The sequence below is a fragment of the Homo sapiens genome, chromosome 20 (genome assembly GCF_000001405.40).
Source record: "Homo sapiens chromosome 20, GRCh38.p14 Primary Assembly".
NCBI lineage: Eukaryota > Metazoa > Chordata > Mammalia > Primates > Hominidae > Homo > Homo sapiens.
In genome coordinates, this window is record NC_000020.11 from 45,239,102 (window position 1) to 45,260,614 (window position 21,513).

Below are 21,513 nucleotides of genomic sequence, written 5' to 3' on the forward strand. Positions count from 1 at the left end.
CCATGGCCAGCTAATTTTTTGTATTTTTAGTAGAGATGGGGTTTCACTATGCTGCCCAGGATGGTCTTGAACTCCTGAACTCAAGCAATCTGCCTGTCTCGGCCTCCCAGAGTGCTGGGATTACAGGCATGAGCCCCCACGCCTGGCCAGACCTCCTGCGTCTTAATGTGGGAATAATAATAACCATGTCATATAGATTTTCAGAGGTATTGAGTGAGATTATCTCAGCCCCAGTGCTCAATAAAAAGTTCCAGCATGACAACAAATTTGGTAATAATAATAATAAAACAATCTTTTATTATATCTTAATATTGAGGTAAAATATATACAAAGAAAAGCACAGATCTAATGTATTTATTTGAATGAGATTTGGCAAATACATATGTGTAGTTACACAAAATCATATGGAGATATAGAACATTCTCATCAACCTTGAAAGTTGTCTATGACGCATTCAAATTTAATTCCAACCCTTCAGGGGCAATCATTATGCTGACATCTACCAATTTAAGACTTGCCTGTTTTTTCTCATTTAAGAAGCATTTATTGTTATAAATGCACTCAGGCACTGTAAGACATAACATAAATGAAATAATTTTCAGATAAAAGCAACTGCTTATTATTTTATCCTGCCTTTATATTATTTTTATAAACTGCCTTCAGAAGGTATCATTCATTACCATACCAGTTGGGTGGTCTGTAATATATTCCCACAAGGTTTGTCTTCCCTTTATTTCTTCTTTTGTTCTTACAAACATGTATTCTACAGTGTTGCTGCTTCTAAGTTCATTGATTTTCTCTTATGTATTATTTTGATATGCAATGCTTTTTTTTTTTTTGAGATGGAATCTCCCTCATTGTGTCACCCAGGCTGAAGCGCCTGCAACCTCCACCTCCCAGGCTCAAGTGATTCTTCTGCCTCAGCCCCCAATTAGGTGAGATTACAGGTGTGTGCCACCATATCCAGCTACTTTTTGTATTTTTAGTAGAGATGGGGTTTCACCATGTTGGCCAGGCTGGTCTCGAACCCCTGACCTCAAGTGATTCGCCCATCTTAGCCTCCCAAAGTGCTGGTACTACAGGCATGAGCCACCATGCCCACTCTTGATATACAATGCTTCTTAACCCCCTTCCTAATAAGATCATTTCTTTTTAACAATGTATATAATATTCTGGACTGAAGTTCAATCCCACAAATTATCAGTGATGATAACAATTTATAATTACCATTCTTGGTTAAAATCTCAACTTAACATGAGCATTGGCACAAATTCTATAAACAAGCCACTTTTAAAAGCCCCAATAAAGTTGACTATATAATTAAAGTGACCTAGTTCAAATAGAAACAAGTGACAGTAGAAGTGAATTAATATTATATGTGCTACATGGTAGTGTAGTTATGATACTCATAATTTTGTATTGCCATTGTAGATATTTTCTTCTAGTGCTTTCAAGTTACCAACAGATATTTATATTCAAGATTTAAGAAAAATATTTCAGAATTCCCAGGAATTCTTTAAATTAAAGTTGTTCTTAAAGTTTATCCAACATTCTTCACACTGCTTACTCATTATAGACATGGTTTGATGGTTAAGAAACATTGAGTTTATCACATTTACAAAGAACTGTAGGTTGTGAATATTCATACTCTCAGAAATATGCTAGTTATTAGCAGGTGAACAATTAAAATTTCGGATCTCCTTAGCAAAGTTAACAGTTCTATACAGAACTGTAAACCAAAATTGCCAATTTCAGAACTTATTTGCTTCCAAACTTGTTATTTCCTGAAACACCACTCATAGGATTTATATATATATTCACTTGTACGTCTATTAAAATTAATTTTATTTGCAAGAATGACTCACTATTAGTAGCATACAGAATGATAAGCATATACTCCTAATGTGGCAACAGGTACAAGCAACATGATTAGATGGTGACTGCTTTTTCCTTAGTGCTCCTGATTCATTCTCTGAACACATTGACCTTAATTTTTGGCTCTACATGTCAGCATTTTCTGGTCTTTGCTTTAGACTTCTAACCAGCAATGTTACTATTTTGAATCCCAAGGTTTAATTCTTACAAAAGAATGTAAAGACTATAATACTTTTTTTTTTTTTTTGCCAGGCACAGTGGCTCACGCCTGTAATTCCAGAACTTTGGGAGGCTGAAGAGGGTGGATCACCCTGAGATCAGGAGTTCAAGACTAGCCTGACCAACATAGTGAAACCCTGTCTCTACTAAAAATACAAAAATTAGCTGGGCATGGTGGAGGGCACCCGTAATCCCAGCTACTCGGGAGGCCGAGGCAAGAGAATCACTTGAACCTGGGAGGTGGAGGTTGCAGTGAGCTGGGATTGCATCATTGCACTCCAGCCTGGGTGACAAGTGTGAAACTCCATCTCAAGAAAAAAAATAAAAATAAACAAAAACACTGGCCAAGCTCTCAATGTTAAGTAGAAATGGTGAAGACAGACATCCTTGCCTTCTCCTAACCTTAAGGAGAAAACATCCAATATTTTACCATTAGAGATGATGTTTATCAGCGGCATACCAAGGATTGTGGCAGTGGGAGTGGTTCATCTGAGGAGGAGGGAGTGTTTATCTCTGACTCTGTTTAAAATTGCCAGCACATAGTGATAATATACAGTACAGCTTTTTAAGCCACTTTTATTATTATTCTTAAATTCTCTACAATTGGGGGACCTATTTATTGCTTACAACTGGGGTGAACTCCTTCCAATAACCTCCTTCCACTTCAGTACACCACTAAGATATGCTTTAAGTTGAATATAGTGCCCTTTATCATATTGAGAGGGAGAGCTTCTCTTCCTTGCAGGTGGAGAAGTTTTATAATAAATGGGTTTTGGATTTGTCAAATACTTTCTCTGTTGAGATGATCATATAGTGAATTACACTGACTAATTTTAATACAAAACATATCCTGAATGTGTGTCTCATTTGACCTTAATGTATAATCTATTTAACATATTTTTGGACTGAGTTTATGACTACTTGGTTAGAGATTTTTATGCCTATGTCTATGAAGGATGTTAGACTGTAAGTAAACTTTTTTATAATGTTCTTCCCAGGTTTTAGTATCACAGTTATCTTAGGCTCATAAAAGAAGTTGGGAAGTGTTTTCTCTGCTTCTCTTGTCTTAAAACATTTTTGTAGAATGTATAATTTGTAGATGTTTAATAGCATTTACCTGTGAAGCCACCTGGACCAGCAGTGTACTTTTTGGAAAGGTTTTTCATTAAAAATTTGATTGCTTTAACATAGGAGTCAACAAACTTCAGCAAAGAGCCAGGAAATGAATATTGTAAGTTTTATATGCCTTAAGATCTTTATTGCAACTCCTTGTCTGTACCACTATAGGACAAAGGCAGTCAAAGATCATTCTTACCAATGGATGTGGTTGTATGCCAACAAACTTCACTTACAGAATCAGAAGTGGTAATCTAGTCTCCCAGTCCAGGAATCAAAGCAAGTGTGTTTAACTTATATTTGTTTAGTTATTCAGTTAATTATTTGTGCTACTTTCTTATTGAGATACAATTTACAAACCATGACATGCACCTTTTAAGGTGTACAATATAGTGGTTTTCAGTATTTTGATAAGCTTGTGCAACCCTCACCACTTGTTAATTCCGGAACAACTTCATTACTCCCATGAAGAACCCCTATACCTGATGGCACTCAATCCTTCCTCCTACCTTTACTTCTCCCTTGGCAACCACTAACCTGCTTTTTATGAATTGACTTATTCTGGACACTTTATATTAATTAAAGTATATAATATGTGGCTCATTGCATCTGACTTCTTTCATGCAGAATTATGTTTTCAAAGCTCATCCATGTTGTAGGGTGGGATCTTTTTTTTTTTTTTACTTTTTATGTATGAATAATATTTCACTGAATGGATACATCACATTTTGTTTATCCATTTATCCATTGGTGAACATTTGGATGTTTCTAGTTTGTATGTACTATTATTAATCCTACTATGAACATTTATGTGCAAATTTTGTGTTAAAATGTTTTCAATTACCTTGAGTATAATTCTTAAAGTGGAACTGATGAGTCACATGATAACTCTATGTTTAACTCTTCAAGGAACTGCCAGACTGTTTTCCACAGAGGATGTACCATTTTATGTTCCCACCAGCAATGTATGAATGTTCCAGATTCTCCACATCCTCACTAACACTTGTTATTTTAGGTTTTTTTTTTTTAAGATTATAGCTATCATAGTACATGTGAAGTGGCTTCTCGTTGTGGTTCTGATTTGCATTTTCCTGAGGTCTAATGATATCACCCATCATTTTACATGCTTATTGGCCATTTGTACATTTTCTTTTGGAGAAATGTCTGTTAAAATCTGATGCCCAGTTTTTAATCATGGTTTTTGTCTTTTATGGTTGATTTTAGGAGTTCTTTTTGTATTTTGAATACTAGGCCCTTATCAGATATAAAATTTGCAAATATTTTCTCCCATGTCTGTGGGTTATCTTTTCATTTCTTATTAGTGCCCTTTGACTCACCAAAGTTTTTAACTTTAATCTATTTTTGGATCTATTATTCCTTTTGTTGCTTGTGCTTTTGGTAGCATATCTAAGAAATTGATGCTGATTACCAGATCATGAAGATATACATTTATGTTTTCCTCAAAGAGTTTTGTAATTTTAGTTCATATATTTAGGTCTTGTTTTATTTGGAGCCCATTTTTGTACTTGATATGATGTAACAGTCCATGTATATTTTTTTGCAGGTGCATATCCAGTTTTTCCCCATTATTTGTTGAAAAGACTACTCTATCCCCACTGGATAGTTTTTGTACCTTTGTTGAAAATAAGACAATTTAAAATGTAATGGCTTATTTATGGATTCTCAATTCTATTCCTTTGATATATTGTGTTTATCCTTATGCTAGTAACACAACATCTTGAAATTGTAGATTTGTAGTACACGTTGAAATAAAAAAATGTGAGTCCTCCAATTCTGCCCTTTTTTTTTAAGACTGTTTTGGCTATTCTGGGTCCCTTGCATTTGTATACAAATTTTGGGATTCACTGATCTATTTCAACAAAAATTCACCTGAAGTTTTCTAGGGATTGCATTGAATTTATAGATCAATTTGTGAAGAATTACCAGCTTGGCAACATCGAGTTTTCCAATCCATGAACACAGTATAGCTTTCTATTTTGGGGGTCTTCTTTTATTTCCTTGAAAAATAATTTTCCATTTTCAGTATAAAAGTTTCTCCATTTTTTGGTTAAATGAATCCCTAATTATCCTATTCTTTTTATGCTATTGTAAATGAAATTTTATTCTTAAAACCATAGAGTGTTGTATTTTGACATTATGTCCTGAACCTTGCTGAGGTCATTTATTAGCTCTAATAATATTTTGAGGGATTCTTAAGGATTTTCTGTGTATGTATGTGTGTATATATATATATATACATGTACATATATGCGTGTATATATATACATATATATGCGTGTATATATATATATACATATATATGCGTGTATATATATATACATATATATGCGTGTATATATATATACATATATATGCGTGTATATATATATATCATCATGTCAGTATTTCTTGCAGTCAGGTTGATGGTGATGAACTCTTCAGTTTTTGTATATCCAGGAATGCCTTAATTTTTCCCTGACTTCTGAAGAATAGACATACCAAGATATAGAATCCTTGGTTGATAGGTTTTTCTTCTGCCGTTTTTAATGTGTTCTCTCACTACCTTCTGGCTTTCATGATTTTAATGAAAAATTACTGTTTAGTTTATTAACTGCTCATGATAAGTGGCTTGTCCCTTGCTTTCAAAATTTTCTCCTTGCCTTTGTCACTAATATTTCGATCTAGGTGTGGATCTCTTAGAGATTTTCCTACTTAGTGTTCTTTGAGCTTCTTAGATGTAGAGATTAATGTTTTTAATCAAAATAAAAATTTTCGTCGTCATTCTATCTTCATATATTCTTTCTGCGCCTTTCTCTTTCTTCTCTCTCCTGAGATTCCCATTATGCATATGTTTTTACACTAGATTGTGTTCTTCAGGTCTCTGAGGCTCTGTTCATTTTTCTTAATTATTTTCTTTATTGTTCCTTAGAGTGTATAATCTCAAATGACCTGTAATTAAGTTAGCCGATCCTTTCTTCTGTTTCTGTCTTCTGGTGAACCCCTGTTTTGAATTTCTATTTCATTGGTTGTACTTTACAACTTCATTACTTATCTTTAATTCTTTCTATGTTGTAAGACATTATTCTCATACATTCCTTTAGTCTTTTGTCCAGAGTTTCCTTTAGTTATTTCAGTGTATTTATAATAGCTGATGTCTTTGTCTACTAATCCATCATCTGAGCTCCTAAAGGATCATCTCTGTTCATTGTTTCCCTTCCCTTCTCTGTATGGGCAATATTTTTTGTTTCTTTGCATGTCTCGTAATTCTTTAATGAAATTGGACTTTTTACATAATATAATGTGGCCAGTTTGGAAATCAGATTCTCTCCCCAGGGTTTGTTTGCACAGTCTTTGCTGTTGATTACTTCCTTAGTAACTTTCCTGGACTAATTTGCTAAAGTCTGTATCGTGTGTCATGTGTAGCCACTAAAGACGCTGTTCCATTAGCTTAGAGGTCAGCTCATGATTGGACAGAAATGATCTTAAATACTAAACCAATAAATCACCTGGACTTTTCCAAGGGGCTGCATGTGTATCCATTGAGATACACTGTCAACATTCCACTGGGAAACTTGCAACTTTATGTTGTATTTCACCTCCTGTTCACATAGAGACTTTAATTCAGCCAGAGGTGAACAATTAGGGTCATCTGAGGTCTTTCCTTAGCATGTACACAGCCCTGGGGCAAACACACAATTCTGTGCAGGAGTGTGGTATTCTAAAGTCCCACAGATGTGACAGAGATTTTCTTTAAGCACCTGGAAATCTTTCCTACCTTTTCCTTTTTTGTTTTTTGGTCAGCCTCTTGTTAGCTCCAATTGGCCTCACCGTCGGAAGTAGCTGTGATGGCAAAAAATTGCCCCAGAAATAGCACTGTCCACATAGAGCACACTCTGAGTTAGACGAGGTAAATACATGCTATGAAAAGGGTGCCTTTTTAGAGAGCTGACATACAAATGAAATAGTGACAGTTTTCCGGGGACAGAGCTTTCGAAAGCAGAAAGGAAATCCTCCCGTGCAGGGGCTGCTGGGCTGCTGGTTTTCACAGCCACTGTGGAGCAAACCTGGTGGCTTTCAGGCTACCACACAGCTGGGCACAAAGATGGGAATGGAAAAGTTATACTGCCACTAAACTTTCTGTTCTTGCTAAAGTTTTCTTGTTTTTCTTGATGATTCTTAATGATGCCACTCCTTGGATTGTGACAAACCTTTGGCTGAATTCCAAAATTCTGGGGAAAAAAAGTTGATATTGAAAATATATGTGAGTACAGGTTGAGCATCTCTACCCAGAAATCTGAAATCTGAAATGCTCCAAAATCCTAAAAGTTTTGAGCACCAACATGAAGCCAAAAGTGGAAAACTCCTCTCCTGACCTCATTTGATGGGTTGCAGGCAAAACGCAGGCTGACAGTGATGAAGCTGATGTTCGTAACACTGCAGAAAAAGTGCTGATAGATGACATGGTGAAAAAGTGTGATGGGCTTATTGAAGGACTGAAGCAGCCTGTATTCATACCAAAACAAGAAATCATGTAAGTTTAAAAATCAACAAGAAATTTCTAAGACAAAAAACATTGTTAATGAGAGAGATGACTCTGGAGAAAACATTTTTAAAAGTCATCCAGCAGAATGCCTCCTCATCTCTAGAGGATCCACTTCCTGGTCCCTCAATTGCTTGTGATGTCTCTTTTCACCTACAAAAATAAAATACAGTGACCAATAATCGTTTAATCAAAACACAGCATCGTAGATGGAGACTGAAATCCTGCTGCTGTTGCTTCTTGCTGTTGTTTAACAGCTGGGGCAGGTATTTTGGTGATGCTACTGTGCTGCTTAGTTACCCTGAACACATTATTTTCACAGTATTAATGGTATGTCGTATTTTTATTGTTAAATATTTATGGGTGAATAAGTGTAATAAAATGATTGCTTATTGGTAGCATATAAATTCGAGTCAGATACAATGGTGATACTAAACAATCACAGATTGTCCACATGGGCGGCTGAGATAGGGACAACTTTCTTTCTGATGTTTCAGTGTATACAAACTTTGTTTCATGCAGGAAACCGGTAAAAATATTGCATAAAATTACCTTCAGCCTATGTGTATAAGGTATATGTGAAACACAGATAATGTTTACACTTGCCTCTCATCCCTAAGATATCTCATTATTTATATGCAAAGATTACAAAATGTGAAAATATCCAAAATTTGAAAAATTTCTGGTCCTAAGAATTTTGAATAATGGATTCTTAAACTTATTCTCCCTCCTTTTATGAAGGAGCAGATTTTACTCCACCGTTGTGAAAGTAGTTCCCTCTGCTGTATGGTTTTTGTATAGGCTTGCCATCAAATAAGTGAACTTCTAATGTTCTGTCATTATTTTCTCATTTATCATGAAGAGATAAGTGACTCTTTCACACATTCTATAGCCAATACGAAGATAATCATAACATTTTCCCCTGTACTCCATTAATGAGAAGTATCCCATTGATTTACTTTTAAATGTTACACCAATCATAAATTGTTGACATAAAACCTTACTTGTGTATGATGTTTCATCATTTTTATATATGACCAAATTCCCTGTGTAAAGTTTTGTTTAGGATTTTTGCCTTTATGTTTATAGCAAGGCTGGAAAATTGTTTTCCTTTCATGTAATATCCTTCTCATGTTTCGGTATCACAGAATTGCAGTGCATATCAAATTAGTTTGGAAACAGAAAGGTCAGTGTGTGGGGTTGCAAACAAACATCTTGAAAATATGAGTGCAGACACTTTAAATATTTAAAGTACAGACACTTTAAATATGAGTGCAGGCACTTGAAAATATGAGTGCAGGCATATTAAATCAGTTGGGAGGGATTTTGTTTTTGTAAATTTGGACTGAAACTCAGTGAGGACATGCCAATTCAGAGTTAGAAGAAAACAGCAGATTTACACAGGGAAAACACTCAACGTGTGGAGGTAGCCCCAAGTTTGTGCTAGAAAGAAAGGTCGGTGTTGGTAAATAGAGCAGCTACTCCAGAGAGCTTTCCCTCATCATCTCTCTGCCTCCCACATCAGGTCCCAATTCTTCTGTGTGCATTAATAAATCTACTTCTTACTATTGCTGAAGTCAGATATGTTTTTAGCTACCAAGCAAGCAGGAGGAACATCCATTTTTAGAATAGTGTAGAGAGGACATGAAGGTTTATCTGGCCCAGATTCACATTCCAAAATGACTTCAAGTTAGTCTTTTGAATCCATCAACTAATGAAGTTTTTACACAGTCATGAAGACATAAAAGCAGGAATTAAGGAAAAAAGCATTCATTATAAAACTTAAATTTCAGTCCCATGGTGCACCATGAATTGACACCATCATGAAAGCATTTGAAACTATAAAACTCACTGATAGAACCAAAACACAAGGAAGAAAGAGAAAGGAATCAAACCTTATTATTACAGAAAACCACCCAACCACAAAAATAAACAATAAGAAGGGAAGTAAAGAGCAAAGGATATACAAAAACAACCAGGAAACAATCAATCAAATGATAGGAGTAAGTACTCACCTGTCAGTAATAACCCTGAATATAAACAGATTAAATTCCCCATTTTAAAAATATAGACTGGCTAAAAGGATTAAAAAACAAGACCCAACTATATAGTGAAAACTAACCTCACCTGTAAAGACATACATAGGGTGAAAGTAAAGAGAAGGAAAAATATTCCATGAAAACAAATCAAAAGCAAGCAGGAGTAGCTATATTTATATCAGACAAAACAGACTTCAAATTAGAAACTGGAAAAAAGAGACAAGGAATAGCATTATATAATTATAAAGGGACTAATTTAGTAAAAGAATATAACAATTGTAAATATGTATGCACTCAACAGTGGAGCGTCCAGATATATAAAGTAAATATTATTAGATATTAAGGAATATATAGACCCCAATACAATAATAGTTAGGGACTTCAACACCCTACTGTCAGCATTGGAAAGATTATTTTAACAGAAAATCAACAAAGAAATATCAGATATAAACTGCATCATAGACTAAGCAGACCTAACAGACATTTACAGCACATTTCACCAAATAACTGCAGAATACGTATTCCATCAGCACAAGTAACAATGTCAAAAGTTAGCCATAGGGTACAAAACAAGTCTCAAGAATTTTAACAAATCAAAATCATACCAAGTATTTTATCTGACCATAATGGAATAAAACTAGAAAGCAATAACAATAGGAACATTTAAAAGTATACAAATACATGGAAATTAAACAACATGCACCTGAATGATAATGGGTGAAGAAAGAAATTAAGAATACAATTTCAAAATTCCTTGAAATAATCAAAAATATAAACACAACATACCAAAACCTATGAGACCCAGCAAAAGCAGTATTAAGAGGCGAGTTTATAGCAATAAATGTCTACATTAAAAAACTAGAAAGGTTTCAAATAAACAACCTAATGATGCATCTCAAGGAACTGGAAAAGCACAAACAAGCCAAACCCAAAATTAGTAGAAAGAAAGAAATAATAAAGATCAGAGCAGAAATACACAAGAGAGAGACTAAAAATTACAAAAGATCAACAAAACAAAAAGTTGGATTTCTGAAAAGATACACAAAACTGGCAAACCATAAACTAGACCACCTAGGGAAAAAAAGAGAGAAGACTCAAATAAAATCAGAAATGAAAAAGCAGACATTACCACTGGTGACACAGAAATACAAAGGATTCTTAGATACTATTATGAGCAACTATAAGCTAACAAATTGGAAAACCTAGAGGAAACTGATAAATTCTTAGAAATGTATAACCTATAAAGATTGAACCAGAAAAAAATTTAGAAACCATGAGCAGTTCAATAATGAGTAATGAGACTGAATCAGTAATAAAAAGCTTCCTAACAACAACAACAAAATCCCAGGAATGGAAGACTTCACTGCTGAGTTCTACCAAACTTTTAAAGAAGAGTTAACATCAGTTCTTCTTTAAACTATTCCAAAAAATTAAGGAGGAGAAAGGAGAAAATTCTCCCAAACTCATTCTATGAGTCCAACATTACCCTGATACCAAAACTAAATAAGGGCACGTGGACACACACATGCACACACACACCAAAAAACTACAGGCCAATATTCCTTATGAACATAGATACAAAAATCCTCAATAAAATACTAGCAAACTGAACCCAACAAGACATTAAAAAGATAATACACTATAATCAAGTAGGATTTATTCCAGGGATGAAGAATGTGTTTCAACATATATAAATCATTTATGAATGTTTTAAATAAATGTGATACATCACATCAACAGAATGAAGGACAAAAAGTCCATATGATTATCTCAATAGATGCAGAAAAATCATTTGGTAAAATTCAATATCCCTTCATGATAAGGACTCTCAATAAAGTAGGTATAGAAGAAAAGTATCTCAACCCAATAAAGGCCATATAGACAAACCCACAGCTAACATCATACTGAACTGGAACAAGAAAAGCATGCCAACTCTCACTGCTCTTATTCAACTTAATATTAGAAGTCATAGAGCAATTAGGAAAGAGAAAGAAATAAAAGCCTTTCAAATTGGAAAAGAAGTCTAATTATCCCTCTTTGCAGATAACATAATTATATCTACAGAAGAACCTTTAGACTCTGCAAATAAACTCTTAGAACCAATCAATGAATTCAGTAAATATGCAGGATACAGCATCAACATACAAAAATCAGTAGCATTTCTATACAGCCCTACAGGGCTTAGTGGGTGTTCTCCCTGTGTGCAGAGACAAGAGATTGTAAAAGACACAAGACCAAGAGATAAAGAGAAAGCAGCTGGGCCCAGGGGACCACTACCATCAAGATGCAGAGACTGGTAGTGGTGGCTGTGTCTTTAGCTTTGCAAGCTTTTTAGTTTGAGGTAGTCCCACTTGTCTATTTTTGCTTTTTTTGCCTGTCAGCCCTGCTTTCTTTTCCCTGTCACAGGTGTCACTCCCCAGGACACTCCCCAGCAAACCCCCTGTTCACAAACATTTGCCTCTGGGACTGTTTTCCAGAAAACCTGACCTAAGGAAGATTATAAAAGTTTATCATTATCCAAAAATTGGAGAAGAAGAGTAGAAAAAAAATAGTACTGTCACTTTTTCAGCATGTGTTCTGTATGTAACCCAGGAGTTTATCTCATTTCAACGCTAGGTCTCCTCCCCCTGCAAGGTGCTACTTGGGGCACACTCCTAGTAGCGTATTTGCCCGAGCCTAGGTTCCTCAGTCTGGAATAACCCTTGCTGGAGGTGAGAAAAGTATGTAGCAGAATGGTCCAGTGAGGTTTGGGGCATTCCAAGTCTTTCAAAATAATCGAGAGTGGGCACTGACGTAACATGGTTAGTCTTTTTGAGGACTCCATTTGCTGTGAGTTGCAGATAATCTTAATTTTTCTGAGTGTCCAGAGAGTGTTGGTTGGATTAGACAACAGACAGACCTACAACATATCAAGTGTGAAAACCAATATATATATCGTAACACATACAGAGGTGAACACAGGAATCTGCCCCAACAGTTCTGTATGGCTTTAGATGAAAACCCCCTGGATTAAAATAGCTTAACTGTTGGCAGGATCTCTTATGCATAAACTCGTCTCAGGAAAGTTTTTCACCTGCAGTTGACAATCCTGCCAGAGGCAGTAAAATTGAGGTTTCTGATTCTTCATGTTATTGTACATCCCTAATCCCATTGAAATTTAGGAGATAAAATCACTTGTCCCAAATCACAGAGTCAGCACTTTCACACTCATGATATAAATTCAAGTTCCCCCAGTCCCTAAGCCTCTTCCTCCCACTACGTATTCATAGGAAGGAGGCCTCATATCTAGATCTTCCCTCACAGCTTCCCACCCCACTCATACCCCCAACGAATCACAGAAGCAGGATGTGCAAAGAGAAATAGGCTCGTTTATTTATTCATTGATCAACTGGCACTTCTTGAAAGCCTGCTGTGTGCCAAGCCTTTCCCCAAAGGAGGATATCAGTGGTGGAGCCAAGTCTCAGGGTGGAAAGGACCTGGACCACACAGAGCAGGACTCCAGAGCCTCCTCCATATGGCAGGAATCAAGCTGTGAGAGAAAATCAGATAAGAGCTTCAGCATAGAAACCAGCCAAATCATATCCACATCCTTCCTCCTGCCCAAGGATCCTTCTGAGATAGAGAAAATAGCAAGATAGCGCTATAGTTGAGAGAGACTTAGTGTCAGGAGACAAGTCTCATTTTCACCGTAAAACTCTAAACTCAAAGCATTGAACTAGATAATCCTCAAACTCCACTGATCCTTTGTGATTTCACCTCAGAAAACATGATGGAAACAACCTGAATAATAAATTCTTAGTGCACATAGTGCTTTGCAGAGCACTTTCAATCTCATTATGTACATTTTACCGATAAAGAAACTGAGACTCAGAAAGACACTTGCCCAGGACCCCCACCCAGAGACACTAGAATAGAATCAAAGCCACAGGCGATCCTATGGAAATCCTGGCCCTGAGACCTGGAGAACAGTTCTCTTGAAGGACAAGGGAGTCAGACAGAGGCTGTGCTTGGAGTAGGGTTCAGGAGTCCCCCTGCCCATATGCCTGGGCCTCCAGAGGGTTGAGGCTGAGAGGGCTGGAGGGAGCTCAGTGTGCCCTCATCCCCTGCTTACCTTTCACAGGGGAAACGCAGGATTTCCCACACATGCCCATGCAACACTTCAAGTCACGCTTGCACTGGCCATCCATCTCACAGAAATTGGGGGGGTTAAGCATCAAACATTGGCCATAAGTCACTGGGCACTTCCCAGGCTTCCTCCTTGCTGGGTGAGAGTGAGGCTACCGGTCAGAGGCCTTGTACTTTATACAACCCCTCCCATCCCCACTTTTTAGAGTGAGCCCCTGCTCCAGCTTCAGCAGGGGGGATCATCCCCTCCCCACCTCTATCACCACCACCTTCTCCCTAAGGCGGCCCCCAAACATAGCACCTGGCTCTCCTAGAACTTCAGGCCCCCCATTGATGCAGGTGGCCAGCCACCCAGTGCTGACTAGGTGGGAGGCTTCCAACTACCTGGCTATCTAAATGCCCGCTGCTTCACCAGCTGCTGGCTACCTTCCTGCTTAGGGCAGTGTGACTCACTGACGGATTGACAAGGAGGCCTGGCAGGACCCATCACCCAGTTCCATCCCTCTAATGCTGTGTCCCCAGGCTCACTCCTCTCTACCCAGTTCCCCGACCTGCTTACTTGGGTTTGGGGTGTCAACAGGATCCAGGCATTTGATGCCACAAGTGTCAGGACAACATCTCTTCTTCCCTGGACACTGCCAGTCACTCTGGCACTCAGGTTTCTTGTATCTAAGGCACTGGGCAGATTTCTTAGGAGGACAGACTCCAGCTTTGAAGGCTTTTGAAGAGAAAGTCAAGAGGTCAGGAGGAGGCTGGGTACTGAGGACCCATCATGCCTCCTGAACAAAGCACCACTTTTGAGGGGGAGAGACCCTTACCTCAGTAGCTGTCCACAAAGCCCAAAGGGTCATGCCTGCCTGATCTCCAGGTGTATTGATGGGCTTGATTAAATTAGACAAATGGACAGGGGACGTTTCACACCCAAGAAAAGGGCAGCAGGCTTCTAGTCAAGACCTCCCACCCAAGAGCAAAACAAGGCTACACAAAGGCAGAGAGGAAGGCTGGGAGTGATGGAGATGGAGAGAGGTAAACAAAGATAAATAGAACCAGTGTGAGAGAAGTTGAGAGCTAAAGCCCAAGGCAGAAGCACAGAGACAAAATAGCAGAAGCAAAGACACAAGGAAGCAGAGTCAGAAACTAATGATTTGAGAGTCGCAGACAGGTGAAGAAGAAGGCGGAGTATGAGAGAGAGAGAGAGAGAGAGAGAGAGAGAGAGAGAGTGGGACCTGGGCTGACAGCATGGCTGCATAGAGGAAGCATTTCCAGAAGCTCAAACTGTCACACAAACCTTGGAGCTCAGCCAGACATGTATTCCACCCTCAGGGAGGTCTCCCGAAACTAAGCTGAGGGATCAGAGCCTACAGAAGGGGACACACCCACACCACAAGGAGACCCCACCTCTGACCCTGCAGCCCAGATTAGACCAGAGTGACTCCAACTTACACTTTCCAGAGCCTTCCACAGCCCAAGGTGCCAGAGTTCCCAGGGCAAGCAGCACCAGGAAGGGGAAGAGGCCGCTGGACTTCATGGTGAAGGCAGGAGTGACTCTGATGGCCAATGCCAAACCTCACTATTTATTCTTTCACCAGTGGGTGTGGCCCCACCAGAATTCTTTCGGCCTCTCCCAGCTACTATTGCATAAGCAGGAAACGTAGCCAGAGACCAGAAATCCTGACACCAAGGAGATTGTTTATCTTTCCTATGCCAGGTAAGGCTATGAGGCCAACACAGCAACTATCAGAAAAGAAAGGGAAGAGATTGGCCTGGGAAGTTGGTTGATTAAAGAGGCCATCTCAGTGTCCATCTGAGCCCTAAACATCACAAGATCCCAGGCCATTAGCCTTATAGGTGGAGAGAGGGAAGAAGTGGTCAATTGCAAAGGTGCTACCCGGACCTGGAACTAAAACCAGACACAGACTCCCTGCTGAGACTTTGTGCAATACATTCTATTCTCACATTGCTAATTCTGATTCTCACATTACTGGACTCTCAGGCATTGTGAAACTCTGCTGATTACTCAATGCAGTTTCTTTCTCAAAAGTTCAGCTCGTTCAACCAACTGATACTTAGTTCCCTGAAATATTTACACCGTTATATCCCCAGTGCCTGTTCTGTGCCTGACACAGGAAAAGCACTCACAAATGAAAGCTGAAGAAGAGCTCCGCTCTCCACAAATCTCTCTGGAGCTCAGTTGTCTCAGCTGTGAAATGAAATGATACTAACAAGTCAGCCCTTCTCAGAGGGTTATGAAATTAAGGGCATGAAGGGACTCTGAATGAAAAGAACAAATGAATAGTATCCCTTCCCACTAAAGAGAATTGAAATGAATCTGAGATAAAGGGGGAAAGCAGCTCATCAGTCACTGTAATCTACATTTAGCTGTGAGATAATTTGAGATCTTAGAGGATTGCTTCCTAAAATTCCCCAAAATCCCTTACAGATCTCACATGACAGCAAAAAATTAAACCCATTCTATTTGCTACCCAGTCTGCATAGGTTGCTTCTAATTATAAAGAGAGCGACCATTATCTCTAAAATTCAGCCCATAGCTGAGTGTAGGGTCGCACACTTGCTGTCTCAGCTGCCCAGGAGGCTGAGGTGTATGGATTCCTTGAGAGTAGGAGTTTGAGACCAGCCCTGGCCACATATTGAGACCCCATCTCTACAAAAAAATGTAAAAAATTAGCCAGGCATGATGACGTACGTATGCCTGTAGTCCCAGCTACTTGGGAGGCTGAGCCAGGAGGATCGCTTTAGCCCAGGAGTTTGAGGCTGCAGTGAGCCATGATTGTGCCACTGCATTCCAGCTTGGGGGACAGAGCGATACCCTGTCTTAAAAAAATAAAATAAAATAAAATTCAACCAAAGCTCATCTAGCTACAAACTCCAAGCTCTTGACTCATTATCTTCATGCTTGGAATTCTCCCATTCATTCCTAAGGTGAAGGTTTGTGGAACTTTCCACAGACATGAAAGACCCACTCATTATCAAGTAGCGATGGCCCCACATGAAGTATTTAAGTATTCCACAACCAAACAGGCAACTGGCAGCAGATCCCTTTATACAAAAGTCACTCCATGGTTTGAATTTTGGTGGATCAGAAGACTTGGACATAATCAATCATCAGTCAAATTTTGGTGGAAAAAGAAAAGGAAGAAAATTAATATGCACAAGGTAACTACTATGAGCCAGGTGCATTCACTCTTAGTTGGAGTACTTAGTAGGGTAGGTAAGAGAGAAATGGAGGCTATGATTTCCACCAATGGGTAATGACACTCTCAGGTCAAGATTTTTGTTCTCACTTCCACCACCCAGGGGATAATTTGATTTCTCTCACAGAGTTCCTGTTCTCTCTCTCTCTCTCTCTCTCTGTTTGTTCCTATTTTCCTCAGTGCCACACTCAAGAAATTATCTGGAGTTTTCTAAATATTTATTTCTTAAAGAATGAAAAGGGGCTGGGCACGGTGGCTTATGCCTGTAATCCTAGCACTTTGGGAAACCAAGGTGGGCGGATCACTTGAGGTCAGGAGTTCAAGAGCAGCCTGGCCAACATGGTGAAACCCTATCTCCACTAAAAATACAAAAATTAGCCAGGCAGTGTGGCACACACCTGTAATCCCAGCTACTCAGGAGGCTGAGGCAGGAGAATCACTTGAACCCTGGAGGTAGAGGTTGCAGTGAGCTGAGATTGTACCATTGCATTCTAGCCTAGGCAACAAACTGAGACTCCGTCTCAAAAAAAAAAAAAATTAAAAGGAAAATGCTACAGCTTAAGTTTTTTTTAAATCTGTGATTGACTGATTGCTCAATCTGTGATTGACTGATTAGAGCCAGCTCCTTTCTCATCAGAAAAGAGCCCTGTGCCCAATTAGCAATGTCTTCCATGGGTGTCATAAGAAGATAATAGTATATAATCATTATTATCTTTGACATAATTGGTTCTAAATGTTTACATCATAGAATGTTAAGACTAAAAAGAGGACTTCAAGGGTTTTCTAGATCAGCAAACTACAGTCCTTGGACCAAATCCACCTAGTTACCTGTTTTCATAAAGTTTTATTGGCACATAGCCACACATCCATTAATTTATGTATTGTCTAAGGCTATCTTTCCACTACAATGGCAACAGGGACCTAAAATATTTACTGCACAGCCTAAAATACTTATCGTCTGGTCCTTTACAGAAAATGCTAACCCCTAGACCAAACCCACAGCTTGCATAAAAGAGACTGAATCCCTTAGAAGAAGATCCAGGCCCAAAGCTGCATAGCGGATTAACGACACACACAAGATTGAGCTTTTCTAAAACAGGTTACTCACATGCTGATCCCCAGAACCTGTCTGGTGGAGGACACTTCCACTCCTAACCAAATCTTAACCTGAGACTGACTCATTCAATCTATCTCAAGGCTGGGAGTGGTGGCTCACTCCTGTGATCCCAGAACTTTGGGAGACTGAGGTGGGTGGATCACTTGAGGTCAGGAGTTTGAGACCAGCCTGGCCAACATGGTGAAATCCCATCTCTACTAAAAATACAAAAATCAGCCGGGCATGGTGGTGTGTGCCTGTAATACTCAGGAGGCTGAAGCAGGAGAATCACTTCAACCTGGGAGGCAGAGTTGCAGTTAGCTGAGGTCATGCCACTGGGCTACAAGAGTGACACTCTGTCTCAAAAAAAAAAATCTATTTCACACACCCTTTATTGCCTTCTACCTAAATCCTATAGATTCCTTCATTCATTTATACAAACCATTCACACAAAAGTTGTTTAACATTTCTTACCACATGTCAGGTATTGCACTAGGCCTAGGGCTACAGAAAAGAGCACGCCCACGGAGTCGACACCACATGGTTGTTAAGAACCTGAACTTCAAAGTCAGACTTACAGGTTGGAAGCAAATCACTGAACCTCTTTGAACTTCAGCTACCTCCACTGAAAAATGAGAGTGTTGCTGCCTCTGGAGTCGTACAGTTGTTGTGAGGAGTATTTGGAAAGCACTCAGCAAACTGTCTGGTCCCCTCAGTACATTACACATTGTTTTTATTACCGGCGTGTCCCTGCACACATTAAGCGCACAGGGAGCTGTCAGTCTTTAACTAAATAGCTTAGTCCTTGGGTCTGGACCCATCTGGCTCTGTCCCATTAAATGTTTGACAAAACATGGTCTTATTTCTTGACAAAATAGACCTGATTGGGCCTATTGGTAGGTAGGTAGACAGACAGATAGACAGATCTTAACTGACAGATAGATATAGATAGATAGATAGATATAGATAGATAGATAGATAGATAGATAGATAGATAGCCAGATAATCAACTATTGGTTCTGTTTCTCTGGAAAACCCTGGCTGATGGAACCTGCTTGCCTCTGCACTTCCCAATGCCATTTATTAAAGTTGGTTACATCATTACTTGTGAGGCTGCATCATCCTTTATGCCTTCTCTGAATACTGGCTTCCAATTACTGTCTCAAATGTTGTTAGTGTGGCCGCTTGTCCCTGACTACCAGGGTGCTGGTGACAGGGGGACCCTGGCAGCTGGTGGGTCCTGCACACACCAAGTAGCGGGACAGGGACCCTGCGCACCTCTGGGAGTCTGCACTCTCCCTGTGAGTATCCACATACTTGTGGAGGAGCAACAGTAAATAATTTTTTTAACACCATGGCAGATCTAGAGAGAAACTGCCAAAGAAAGTTAAAAAATTAATTTTAGTACCGTTAACACTTTTTTTCCTGCTTTTGAACAAGCAGCTCCACATTTTCACTTTGCATTGAGTCTTGTAAATTATGTAGCCAGCCCTGGAGGGGCTCAGGGTTGAAGTGAGAGGAGCATCTCATTTGCACAAGAAATGTCTCTGCCTAATCCATTATGGCTCAACACTGACCCGAGAGAGCATAGGTCAATCAGAGGAAAAAAAAAAAGACATCAACTGAAAAGCCCCTTTGGAGTTGCACAGAGATGGCCTGGAAAGCCCTGAGGAAGAGACAGGAGCAGCCACAGGCTCCTGCCAGGAGCCATCCAAGGTGGTAGGATGACTGCCCTAGATTCTAGCAATGGGGGAAGGAGTACAGAGTGAGAAGCACCCCCTTGGACTAGAACCCATGCAGTTCTCAGTCCAAGCTGGGATTCTCTGCCCCATGGCACCATTGATCCTGGCTGGCTTCAGGCACTCCAGGGGAACATAGACAATTTTGAGGAAGACGCCCCAAGGCACAGAGCGACCTGAAGTGTGAGGTGCAGGGAAGGAGCCCCGTTGCTCAGGTCTAAGGAAGAATGTGTTTCGGGTCGCCCCATTCTGATAGCAGATGCCAGCTTCACCCTTAACTAAAAGTCACTGTGTTCTTACCTAAAATTCACTATGTTTCCAAGTCTCAAAACCAAAAAACAACACAGAACAAAAAACTCTTTCAGAATCTGGCAGACAACCAGGTTTTCACAGCTCATTCCTGTGTGAATAAGGCAGCAACTACCTTTCCCTGGGCCTCAGTTCCTCTACCTGTCCCAAGACGGTAACTGTGACTCTAAGAAACAGCTTCATCCTGCTTCCTCTGAGGCCATCAGCTCTCCCCAAGAGCCTCAGCCAATTTTCTGACTTTCATAGTTGCCTTTATAACTTAGCTTAAAATATTGTCTTAAACAAAATACATAAAACGTCAATAATGACCAAATGGGAATGGAGACACAGAGCCAGGGAGTATGGAGATGTAGTAGGTGTGGTGGGGAGAGTATTGGGGAAAAAAAAACCCCGAGCTGAGACAGGAAGAGTAGATGAGAAAGAGATGACTGCAAGGGAGGTGGGGTCATTTAAATCACCTCTGGAAGTGTCATCCACAGGTGGTGGACATGGCAACTGGATCTCCCTAGACCTTCCAGAGAAACAGATGGCTTAGCCACTCCTTATCATTTTCCCACCCAAGAAAGTTTGAATTCTGCAATGTTTGTACTTCCTCCCCTACTGCTCATCATAGTCCTAATAAAATCTGGAAATATGAACTGTCCTTTTAGGCCCACAAGTGAATGGGTGAAGGGCAGTAAAGCAGAATCTGGGCAAGGGTGAAAAACATCCACCATCAAAGAATTGGCAGGAGAAATTAACCAACAACGGTGGATCTCAGGTGTCTTCATACTTATTACCATGCAAGAGATGGTTGGTGTACAGATCAGGGCTCTGCACTTTATTCCTTCAAAAACTGCATGTCTGTCTCCCTAGAGGAAGGGATCCAGTTAACCTAAGGTTAAAGAAACAAAGTCTGTGGTATGTCATGAGGAAATGCTTTAGGGACCTGGTAAAACAAAAAGAAAAACAGTGCTCGGCATTAAGAAACTGCCATCATGACTACCCATGGAAGAAAACCGGGAATAGAAAAACTGGATTATTAAACTGTGGAACAGAGCTATAAGCAGCTTGGGAAAAGATGTCCCCAAATCACTAGAATCCATCTCCTTTGGTTTAGCATGTTTTGTTACATTTAAGCGTCACACAAAACTTGGTAGATACTAATGTCAAGTCAGTTTACAGATGAGAAAAAGTGAGTCTCAGAGAAACGTTCCTGTTGCAGATCAGGAGATGGTAGGGTCTTAGATGGACATGGCAGACG

The 21,513-nt window shown here is 39.4% G+C and overlaps 1 protein-coding gene and 2 long non-coding RNA genes across 5 annotated transcripts in view; 1 reads left to right on the top strand and 2 right to left on the bottom strand.

Moving 5' to 3' along the window:
• LOC105372630 (uncharacterized) overlaps positions 1–21,513 on the top strand; it is a 59,516-nt gene that overhangs the window by 8,265 nt on the left and 29,738 nt on the right. Inside the window, exon 3 of one of the 3 annotated variants that reach the window (XR_936761.3) lies at positions 7,603–7,685. The exons of 1 other annotated variant lie outside the window; for it this stretch is intronic. This is a non-coding gene — a long non-coding RNA (uncharacterized LOC105372630). Of the gene's footprint in view, positions 1–842; positions 882–7,602; positions 7,686–21,513 lie in introns of those variants that run through there. One more of the 3 variants, XR_936768.3, reaches the window with a different exon arrangement.
• LOC124904913 (uncharacterized) lies at positions 267–9,947 on the bottom strand. Its single transcript, XR_007067605.1, has 2 exons — positions 7,584–9,947; positions 267–7,439 (listed from the first exon to the last, which is right to left on the bottom strand). It is a non-coding gene; the product is annotated as an uncharacterized LOC124904913 (long non-coding RNA).
• SLPI (secretory leukocyte peptidase inhibitor) lies at positions 13,138–15,463 on the bottom strand. Its single transcript, NM_003064.4, has 4 exons — positions 15,358–15,463; positions 14,474–14,632; positions 13,901–14,050; positions 13,138–13,318 (listed from the first exon to the last, which is right to left on the bottom strand). The coding sequence occupies exons 1-4, from the start codon at positions 15,440–15,442 to the stop codon at positions 13,314–13,316; spliced, it is 399 nt and encodes a 132-aa protein (NP_003055.1). The 5' UTR covers positions 15,443–15,463; the 3' UTR covers positions 13,138–13,313.